General features: G+C 40.6%; 1 protein-coding gene across 7 annotated transcripts in view; it reads left to right on the forward strand.

Annotated features, from left to right (window-relative positions):
* GALNTL6 (polypeptide N-acetylgalactosaminyltransferase like 6) overlaps positions 1 to 12048 on the forward strand; it is a 1228156-nt gene that overhangs the window by 1206607 nt on the left and 9501 nt on the right. For all 7 annotated transcript variants that reach the window (NM_001034845.3, XM_017008244.3, XM_011531993.3 and 4 more), the window contains one exon: positions 1466 to 1615. In NM_001034845.3, the coding sequence (NP_001030017.2) occupies positions 1466 to 1615 (150 nt within the window). The remainder of the gene's footprint in view (positions 1 to 1465; positions 1616 to 12048) is intronic.

Consider the following 12048-nt stretch of genomic DNA (forward strand, 5'->3'; position numbering starts at 1 on the left):
CAGCTCTTTTTTATTTTGCAATTCACAGTTTGGCTTCACACAGCCAGCCTGCCGTAAGTCCTATTGTAAGAATTACATAACCTTCCTGGGATTTTAGAATTGGGAGCAATCACAGGGCTCATCTAGTCCATTTTCACACTTAAGGATTTCTCCTACTGTACCTTTCAAATACCCTTATTTGTTGTACAGTTCAAATAACTCAAGCAAATGCTCTTCCCCTACAGGTGTGTGGCTTGTTTGCTTGTTAATACATTGTAAAGCCAACTTAGTGCATAAGTCACATTTTTAATATAATAGAATGGGATGGATATAATAGAATGGTATAATATGATAGAATGGGATAATATAATAGAATGGGATACATAATAGAATTGGAGAGGCTGGACTAGGATAGGAATGTGTTGGATGGAATATCAGAGTCAATTAAACTCAGTAAAGGTAAATATCATTTCATGAAACTTCTGTTTCTATTGGAATCAAGGGAGGTCTCTGTGTGTGTGTGCATGAGCTGCATTTCTTACTGTGAGTTACAGTCTAAAACTTTCTACATTGCCCTGCAGAATTACTCTTACCAACCCTAGGGAAATTAATTGGCCCATTCTTCACTTCATCAAGCTTAGCTTTCCTTTACATTAGGTTTTTCAAGGTGCTAGCATCAATTCGGCTCATCTCTACTCTTTGTCTCTTTAGCTAATCTGCAAATTTGGGCAAACTGTGTAGGATTTGTTCCAGTAACATTTTAGCTAAATAAAGACCGTAGAGTGTTATTAAGGACTTTCTGGCCAGGCACAGTGGCTCATGCCTGTAATCCCAGCACTTTGGGAAGCCAAGGCGGGCAAATCACCTGAGGTCAGGAGTTTGAGACTAGCCTAGCCAACATGGTGAAACCCCGTCTCTACTAAAAATACAAAAATTAGCCAGGCGTGGTGGCGTGCGCCTGTAATCCCAGCTACTCGGGAGGCTGAGGCAGGAGAATCGCTTGAACCTGGGAGGTGGAGGATGCAGTGAGCCGAGATCGCACCACTGCACTCCAGCCTGGGAGACAGGGTGAGACTCTGTCTGAAAACAAACAAACAAAAAAAGACTTTATTTCTCTCTCTGACCCTCATCCCTCTCCCCTCTGTCTTTCCTCCCTCTGTCCTCTTACTCGTTCTCCTTCAATCTCCTTCTTCCATGCCCCTCCCTGCATCTCTTTTTCTACCATCCTCTGTATTTTCTCTGGTACCTGATTGGAAACTCTTCATTTGTGTTTTTTGGCAGCCTGGACCAAAAGTGCAGCTGTTACTGCTACAGCACTTTATGACACGTGCCTTTTCCAACACCTCTGTTAGGCTGAGACTTAGCTCTTTTTGGCAGATCACAAAGCAGGAGTTCTACATTGCTAAAAGACATACCTTCCCCCGCCCTTGCATCTTCTCTCCAAAACAAACTCACTGCAGCTTTTCTGCTACTGTTGCTTTGCTAGCTTTTTACCTTTGGATGGAGAGAAGATATTCGACCCGGTGAGCCACTGCATACCCGGAAATTCTGCTTTGATGCGATCTCACACAACAGCCCCGTTACACTCTATGACTGTCATGGCATGAAGGGGAACCAGCTCTGGGGATACCGGAAGGTAAGAGTCAGTCCACTGTGGTCATTCTCAAATTACTGTGGTTTAAGTTATTCTTACTCAGTTTTCTTTGAAAACACACCGTTTTAGGCCTGGCGCAGTCACTCACACCTGTAATCCTGGCACTCTGGGAGGTCGAGGTGGGCAGATCACCTGAGGTTGGAGTTTGAGACCAGCCTGACCAACATAGCGAAACCCCATCTCTACTGAAAATACAAAAAAAAGTCAGGCGTAGTGATGGGTGCCTGTAATCCCAGCTACTCAGGAGGCTGAGGCAGGAGAATCACTTTGAGCATGGGAGGGGGAGATTGCAGTGAGCCAAGATCGTGCCACTACACTCCAGCCTGGGTGACAGGGCAAGACTCTGTTAAGAAAAGAAAGAGAGAGAGAGAAAAGGAAGGAAGGAAAGAAGGAAGGAAGGAAGGAAGGAAGGAAGGAAGGAAGGAAGGAAGGAAGGAAGGAAGGAAAGAAGGAAGGAAGGAAGGAAAGAAGGAAGGAAGGAAGGAAAGAAGGAAGGAAAAGAGAGAGAGAAGGCAGGAAGGCAGGAAGGGAGAGAGGGAGGGAGGGAGGAAGGAAGGAAGGAAGGAAGGAAGGAAGGAAGGAAGTTTTGAAAGTTTTACCTAGTCATACATACACATATTTGGCTCACACATCTGGAGATCACCAGCAAAGGTGAAGGGAAAAATCGTGTGTGTAGAAAGGGGCAAGCTTTTGGCTTCGCTTGTTATATGTGTGGCCATCACAATCAGTTATGATTGAAAAATGGCTTTGAGCCAGAACAAGGGATGGGTCTAGGTTTAACTCAGAACACTCCCAAAAGGAGGAACCACATATCCAATAAGCAAAACCACGCATACATAATTTTTAACATCACCATTCACAACACACATACACACAGATTGTGGCATCCATTCATTTTTTATGTATCTCAGGCTCACTTGCTTGGGACCTGTCTGGGTTAAGACAATGATGTTTACACAAATATTTATACATCTATGTAGATATAATTGCTGCAATCCTTATACAAAAAGTGACCCATTTACATTTTCACCAAAATCCTGCCCAAATGTAGCAAAGAAGAATTTACTTGGGGAATTTAAAAGTTTCAAAAATTATAAAGTTAACAGTGAATGGTAGGAAAAATTCAAAAACATATATAAAGTCACATTTTATTGAGTTAATAAAATAAAGAGCAATTAAGTTATTGTTTGAAAATATTTTTATTGTTTCCTTTTGACAACTTTTTAGAATACTTTACAAAATTGCTTTTCAAATTCTTTGCTTTTGGGGATAGAACTTGGCTGTCAATTAGCAATTACTCCATAAGCTCCATTCTGCCCTCTCAAATCCATGGACCTGCTGGGGCCTTCTCAGCCAGGGATAAGATGCCTTCTGTTTGCTTTTTCACACTCTGAGGCCAGCCTTGCCTCAGGCTATAAGGAAAATGGAATATCCCCCACTTTATTCATGAACTTGGCCATCCTGTGGCTGAGGCAAGGTCAGTGTCCCCCCAAATTACAGAAAGCTAAAGGAGAGAAGTGGTGGAGAGTCAGTGTGGGGAGAGGGAGGACTGGTTATGTTACTTGTTGCCTTACTTAATAAGCATTCTGGTTTCCACCTCTTAGAGATGAGCTCCTAAAACTATACTCATCCAAAGGTGGACTTGTTTGTATAAGTTTATTCTGCATCCCACCCCCACCCAAACACCTGGCAGGTTGTGGCTGTGTCTAGCAAAATTACAAAACATCAGTTGAGCCGAGCACAGTAGCTCACGCTTGTCATCCCAACACTTTGGGAGGAGAGGCGGGCAGATCACCTGAGGTCAGGAGTTCAAGACAAGCCTGGCCAACATGGTGAAACCCCATCTGGACTAAAAAATACAAAATTAGCCAGGCATGTTGGTGCATGCCTATAGTCCCAGCTACTCGGGAGGCTGAGGCAGGAGAATTGCCTGATCCTGGGAGGCAGAAGTTGCAGTGAGCCAAGATCACACCATTGCACTGCACTCCAGCCTGGGCGACAAGAGCGAAACTCCATCCCAAAAAAAGCAAAAAAAAATCAGTTGTTATATCCTTCTACAAAACAATCTAGAATGAAAGGAGCTCAGAAGATGGTATCTGATTAAAAATGAAGCTGGGGGAATATCACTGCAATAGTAAAACCTCGCCGTTTTCTTTATGAAATGTATAATAAATGATTCATCTTATCAAACTATTTTGCTATTCAACATGATACAGCCTGTGTGTGGTGCAATAAAGTAAGGTTTTTTTTAATGATTATATTCTGACATCTAAAGAGTTACTTTCTGCGCACATCGATAAAATAGCTGACTGGCCATTTGCTTAGTATGTTAGTGGTTCCTAATGAACAGAACATTTCTTATTACTGTACATTTATAGCATGACACACCAACCACTCAATAATATGCAATTAAGCCAAGAAAATGCAATTGTTTTTATTAGGGAGCTTACAAAAGTTTACAGATGGATAAGAACAACTAATACACAGAGCTCCTGGGGAGAAAAAAAACTGGCTGCAGTGGTTTCAAGGGGAAACTCTTATGAGCTTTAATATTAAACCTTTCCAGGATCCTAAGGGATTTGTGAAAGGAAACCACTAGATTCAATTGTGCTGTGGCTCTCTTCTCAGCTTTTTGTAGCTGTTGGTATTGCATTACTTAGCAAAAGGTTACACTCCATGTGTATTTATATAGCAAGCAAGGTATTTATACTTAATCAGGAACATGCAAAGGCTCAAAATGGAAAGTTTCTGAAATATCACATCTTGGTGGATGACTCAGGCCTATTCAGACACACCTGTTTTAGAAAATTCCTCTTGTTTTTTCCAAGGGCTATGCCTAAGGCATAAAGAGAAAAAGCACAAAGAGAAATCTCTCTGGTGTGTTACCTTATCTATTTGGATGCAGTACTTGGCTCTGGGGGCTTCTGGCAGTTTTAGATGTTTTTGTTTGTTTTTTGAGACGGAGTTTTGCTCTTGTTGCCCAGGCTGGGGTCAATGGCGTGATCTCGGCTCACTGCAACCTCCTTTCCCAGGTTCAGGCGATTCTCCTGCCTCAGCCTCCCAAGTAGCCAGGACCACAGGCATGACCACCATGCCCAGATAATTTTGTATTTTTAGTAGAGACAGGGTTTCACCATGTTGACCACGCTGGTCTCGAACTCCTGACCTCAGGGGATCCGCCCACCTTAGCCACCCAAAATGCTGGGATTACAGGCACAAGCCACCGTGCCCAGCCTGGAACTCCCACTTTTTATAAGTGCCATGCTCTTAAGGAATAAGATCAATATTTCCTAGGAGAGTTCCCCAATGCCTTGGATTCAGTGTCACTGATACCAGCCAACCCCTCCCTCCCAGCTACATGGAGATATCTTGGAGAGAGAAGGTGGCCAGAAGCCACCTTGCTTGGGTGGATGAAAGTTGTTTTCGGACCTTGCTTCCTGGTTTCAGCAACTCTCATTCCGCTTTTAGTTATTTTTAGATGTGGCTCTTTGCCACCACAAAAGGAGAAAAGCATCCTTATTCTATGATGCTGGGGCTATGTTCAGTTGAACAGCTGTTTCCTACAATAACAGGCACCCAGGAAGAGGAATCCTGTTCCTGGTTTTCTTTTACCACCAGGGGGACCCCTGTTACAAGAACAGTGAATTGTTGAGGCAACCTCAGTAAAAATATTTGTCCTCACCCAGCATCAAACAGGAAACTGTCTTTCCTCTTCTTCAATCCCCATTGGTCACTAAGATTTGTCACCCACTTCCATCCCCAGTCATTGGTCACTAAGACTTGTCACCTGCCCCCATCAGCCAATAACTCTGAAATCCACCCGCTCTTTGCCATTTCTATAGCCAGCCCCTGCCTGGTTCAGTCTTCACATCTTACCCCTGGGTTATTGCAATGGCTTCCTAAAGGGCTGCCCTGCTTCCTGTCTTTCCCCTTCCCCTTCCCCATCTTCCACCCTGAAGCCAGAGGGAGATTTCACAAAACCTGGTCATGGTATTCCTCTGTTTCATGACTTCATTTGGTTTCTCATTGAGTAGAAGATAGAGTGCTTTAGCCTCTCAATACTCATCTGGATCCTTCACAACCTGGCCAACATAACAGCCGACCATCAGCCCTTAGAGTTATTCAGGCTTAATACACCCCAATTCATCCTGAAATTGTAAGGGGATCTTGAATAGTTGTTTTGCTTTTATGACTTTCAAGTGCTTCACCAACATAATAATGATAATAACTGAGTGAGATAAACTATGGAAAACTTCTAGCACAGTTTCTGATCATAAGATTTCCATCTGTGTTGGTGACAATGCACTTTTTACACTGATCATCATGGCAAGGTATATCCTAATATACCACATCATTAAAGCAATCTCTCCTAGGCAATATTGACAGTTGTTATCCCTCCAAAATTGAGCGCTATCTCCCATGCCCTTTTCATTTTAAGTAAACATTTTATTAGATTATAGCATATGTCTTAATTTGGGTTTCCCCATATATACAACCTAAAGTAAGAATTTTAATGCACATGGTTTATTTGGGATATAGCCCCAAAAATTCTTGACAGGGAGTGAGGAAGTGAAATGGAGGAGATATCAGAGCCAATAAAGGGTGCATTATCAAGCAAGTACCACCGCAGGCAATTAGAACTCAATCCTACTGAAGATCTCTGGAAATGGTATATAGAACACACATCAGGGAGTCAATTTTTTGGTCAGGTTCCTGACCAAAGATTGACTGGAATGGTGTATAAATACCCCAACTCCCTTGATACCTCTGGCCTGCTGCTCTTACAGACAGAACCATTCTTAAGGCCGGAGAAAGTCCTTAAGCAGAGAGATGCAGTGACATCCGGGCCAGCATGCACTGAAATGGAAAGGCCTGAAGGGCCATGCTCAGGGTACAGGCACTGCCAAGAATCCAGGTGCTCTGCATCCTCACCAACACTTGGTATTGTCAGTTTCTTTTTCTTTTTTATTCTGTGATTGTAAAGTGATATGTTTGTTAGCCATTTTGGATATCTTATTTGTGCAGCACCTACTTGAGTCTTTTGCCCATTTTCAAAACATGGGCTGTCTGGCTTTTTCACACAGATTTTTAGGGATTTTTTCTATATATAAGTGCCTCATTGGATGTATGCATTGCAATATCTTATTCTTGTTGGTGTCTTGTCTTTTTTCTGTTTAGTGGAGTGTCTTAATGAAAGCTATTATTTATGATTCGTGGGTTTTGTGTTCTGTTTAGGAAATCCTGGCCTTCATGTAGTTAGTCTTCCAAGTCATCTTTGGAAATTTTATTGCTTAATGTTCTACATTTCGGTTTATAATTCCCTGATATATCTGTATATCTATATAGATATATATAATTTTTTGAGACGGACTTTCGCTCTGTCAGCCAAGCTGGAGTGCAGTGGTGTGATCTTGGCTCCCAGCAATCTCCACCTCCCGGGTTCAAGCGAGACTCCTTCCTCAGCCTCCCCAAGTAGCTAGGATTACAGGCACATGCCACCCAGCTACTTTTTGTATTTTTAGTAGAGACGGGGTTTCACCACGTTGGCCAGGCTGGTCTCGAACTCCTGACCTCATGATCCCGCCCACCTCTACCTCCCAATGTGCTGGGATTACAGGCGTGAGCCACCGCGCCCAGCCCTCCCTGAAATATTTTTATGTGTATAATGTAAGATAAGGGTTGATTCATATACAGAGATAGAAATAGATATAGATATATATTGATAGAGACATGCTATTGATCAATCACCATTTATTTAAAAGACCATTTTTTCCCACTGCACTGAAGTGACGCTTTTATTGTAAGTCAAGAGGTCTTATATACACTGGTCCATTGTTAAATCCTCAAGTTTTTACCATGTAACTAAATAGTCTTAGCCATACAGAAAGTAAGCTAATAAAATAAACTAAATTAATCTAATAGGAAGTATAGCCAAAAACCCACAACTACCATCACTCTTAGTGGTGAAATGTTAAAGCTCTCCTCCAGAGATGGGGAATAAAATAGAATGTTGACTATAATCATGTTTTTCAACCTTTTATAGGATATCTAATCAGTGTAATCAGGCAAGATATAGACCTTTAAAGGAATAAGAATTGGAAAGGAAGAAATAAAACAGTCCATTCGTAGATGTCATGTTAGGGTATTTAGAAAATCCAAAAGATTATGCAGCTGAAGTATTTTAAAAATGAATAGATACAATTAGCATAGGCCCAAGATGAAAATGAATTGTTTATATACTAGCAACAAAAAATAGAAAATGAAGTTTAAAAGTGATTCCATTTGGTCACTGTGAAAAGCACAAAATAGGAATAAATCACGGCAAAGATGTGAAAGACTTTTATGCAGAAAACTACAAAGCATCACTAAGAAAAATCTTAAAAACTATAGAGGGATCCATCATGTTCAAGGATTATGTCTCAATATTGTGAAGATGTCAGTTTTTAAATGATCCAAACATTTAATGCAAAACCAAACAAATCTCAGGAGGCTTATTTGTGGAAATTGATAACCTGATTCCAAAATTTACATGGAAAATGTAAGGGACAAGAATAGCTAAGAAAATCTTGAAGAAGGAAAAAAAAGTACTAAAACATTATAAAAGCACCAGGTATCAAAACATTACAAAGGTGTATTATTAAGGCAATGTACTCGCCTGAGGATAGACTGACTGAGGCTCTCTAGAAGGTGAAGCCTGGGTATTGATATTCTTTGAAAGGTCCCGAGAGATTCTAATAGACAGTCAGATGGAGAATCACTTTTGTAGCTCTAATTTTTACTTTCTTTCTTTAATCTACTCCTCCCTTTTGCTCTAGTTGGAATTTCCCCCTCTTTCTGTACTCCTATAGCATTTTGTTTCCTTCTTTCTACTTAAAACACTGTATATTATACATACTTAGCCCCCTCACCCCCGCCAACTACCTGAGGGCAAGAACTTTTTAAAAAATGTCTATATGGCCTGCCTAATACCTAATATATGAAGTTCCTAAATAAGCATTCATTGACTGGCTTAAAGAACCACTAGTTCAATTATTGATATGAGCCCTGCCTTCATAAACCCCAACCTGTGCTGGATAAAACTTAACACATTTATTTGTCTCAAAACTACATATGCAACCTCCCAACGACCAAAAATAAAAGATTTAAAATTACTTTCTTTAGTTGCTCTCTGGGGGTTCTTATAATTTAACTTTCATAATAAAGGACTTGCAAATAGCATCAAACAGGAAGTACAGGTAAGAAGGCACCTGCCAGGCTAAATTGATAACAGTGTAACCATTCCATTCATTTAAAAAGTGAGTGGGTGGAATTTTTGGCATCTGCCTACATTTGACTATTTGTTGTTAACTTATGATATATGCCAGGTTTTGGCCTCTCAGTTCATAAAATGAGGATGTACCAGTCCACAAAGATGCCAGATAGAAGGGCTCGAGGTTGTTATTTTAAATCATTCTGGACAGGTATTGATTTGGGACCAAAAAATAAGGAAAGTGTATATAACAAGTTTAACTTAAAAGTCATGTAATTCAACTCTGGTTCTGATAAATGAAGTCACTAAAAAATCCTGGACATGTGGTCAGAGGTTGGGCAGTCACACTCTCCCAGGTCAGTCCTAATTGCCAGAAAGCTCTTCCCTGGCCTTTGATTACCACACAGATTATATTTAATTCATTTTACTCAAGACAGATCCCAAATATTTGAACAAATACCTGCCTGGTTTTTAATCCAATTAAATGGCCCAATTTCCTGCCACTGCTCTCCATATGACTTAATTTGAACCCACCTCCATCTCCTGGACACTCACCCCTAAAGTACTGCAGATAGTCTTAGAGAGTAACATGATTCCCAGAACACAATATTGTAAGAATGTTGTCAACAAAGAAAGTAGAATAAGTTTCTAGCACCTTTTGTTATGAGCTTCTAGCATGCTTTGCTGTGAGCAATGTCTCTGTTAATTTAGCCTGAGTTGATTGATTTCCTGCCTTAACTTCACACACTCAGCTTCTTAATGAGCTTTCAGTACTGGAGAAAAAAAATCTCAGTCTTTTTCTCTTGCTTTGCTAAACAGACATATCTCTCCAATCTTATATCTGTACAGGTCATCTTTTACATTATGTTGCTATCCACTTTTTTCCATTAAACTCTATCCTATTATAATTATCCCAACCTGGATTTAAACATTTTGATTCAACTTAATAGCAATTGAACTATAATTTGTTTCATCCACAGATTGGATCAGCATCCATTCATGCCTTCATCTAAATTGTTGATCCCAGTGCAAAGTCAAGCACTGAGCCCTCTATCATACAGCAGAGGTAACAAAATCCATTAATGAGCATCATTTGGAGGAAGTTACTCAACCAGATAAAAATTCATGTAAAATTATCTTCTAGACCACCGTTCTCCAGCTTGCCCATAAGAAAACAAAATTGGACTCTTCAAACATCTTGCTGAAAACCAGATGCCCAATGTCTGCAACATACCCCTTTTGGTAACAGAGGACTTATGTTATCCTAAGAAGTTGTGATTCTTATGCAGAAAATTTCAGTGCAAATTGAAAATTCAGTTACCTTTTCAAAGAAGAATTAGGCTAACTCTCAGGAGGACTATACATTCGCCCCAGCAATGAAGCTGCCTTTTCAATAATTAATTCTATCTTCCCATCCTGTTTTTAGCTGTATGTCTAACCCAGCTGAAATCACTTAGGTTGTTATGACCTTCTAACTTTTGCCATTTCAACTTAGCAATATTCCTACTGATTACCTAACATACTTAACTGCCATTCTCTGATCACTCCGAAATAGAAAGGCTCTGTTACAACTCTCCTGGGGCTCTTCCGTAAAGAGAAAGTCTTTGTGAACTGAACGCCTGCCCAGATCTAGACTGTCAAACAGAAAAGAATCTTGTTAATAGGAACTATGAAAAAATCAAATTAGTGTTTGTTGATCAGGACAATTCTTTCCTACCAAGCAGGTGCGGGGTGGGAGCAGGACTGGTAGTTGGCTCAGCCAAGAAAAGAGATGAAACATAACTCAAAGACTCTGTGCCCGGTCTGTGTTCTTAACCTCTGAGTTACGTTTCATCCCTAATCCTAGCATTTTGGGAGGCCGAGGCATTTGAGAGGCCAAGACAGATCATTAGAGCCCAGGAGCTCAAGATCAGCATGGGCAACATGGTGAAAACCTGTCTCTACCAAAAAAAAAAAAAAAAAAGCTGGGCATAGTGGCACAGACCTGTGGTCCCAGCTATTTGGGAGGCTGAGGCAGGAGGATCACATGAACCTGGAAGGACTAGGCTACAGTGAGTCATGCCACTGCACTCCTGCACTCCAGCCTGGGTGACCCAGCAAGATCCTGTCTCAAGAAAAGAAAAGAGAGAGAGAGAGAGAGAGAGAGCACAGGCTCTGGCTCCTGCAGGGCCTCATAATAGTCACTGGCCCCACTGTGGATGCTGGCTTTGGGACCTTGGGCAACTTTCTTACTATGAATTTCTGTTTCTTCATTTATAAAATGGGAATAATAATTCCCTTTATTATCTACTTTAGTATGTGCCTTAGCAGGTTATTCTGATGATTAAAAAAAATTTAAGTGCACCTAGAGCATAGCACATAACAAGAGTTCAATTGATGTTAGCCGCTACTATACCATGCATTCAGCAAGATAACTTCTGATTTGATTTTCGCTCTCCAAATAGATTTGCATACAGAAATAGATGGGCTAACTAGTCATATTTCTACACTGTACATTTCTGTACTATTTTAACTATTTAGTTATAGCTAAATCTTAGAATATCAATTTCATGAGAGCAGGAATTTTTCTCTGCTTTCTTTCGTGCACTCTTTCCGGCATCTAAAACACTCTGTGGCACATAATAGGTACTTAATTCAAATTCACTGAATGAATGAATAAGTGAATCTAGCTTCCTGTTTGTCCACATTCACTATCTCTTCAGGTTGCTTAAGTGGGTTTAGGTAGGGAAAAAAAAAAGAGAGAGAGAGAGAAACTCTGGGTAGAATACTTAGCACTGCTTGATGCCTAGATACACATTTGACAAATAGTAGCTATTATGTTCACATGACTTCATGCAGGTTTACTGAGGGGAGCTAAAGAGATATGGATAGACGGAAACAAGGTGCAAAACTTACGGGCTTATTCTACTCATGGAGATTTCAGTACAGAGGGGAAGCGGACAAATACTACTTAAAGGAAGTGTACAGGATAATATGAGAACACAAAACACTGGGCACTATCCAGATCAGAAGGGTGAAGAAGCCTTCTCTGACAAACTAACTTCTAAATGGAGACCGAAAAGATGGAGACTTTTACCTTTTTAGATAGGTAAAGAAAGTGATGGAGAAAAAGACCACAGACATCTGGATCAACTTGTGCAAGGCCCTGAGATAAGCAAGATATTGG

Source organism: Homo sapiens, chromosome 4, assembly GCF_000001405.40.
Source record: "Homo sapiens chromosome 4, GRCh38.p14 Primary Assembly".
Taxonomy (NCBI): Eukaryota; Metazoa; Chordata; class Mammalia; order Primates; family Hominidae; genus Homo; species Homo sapiens.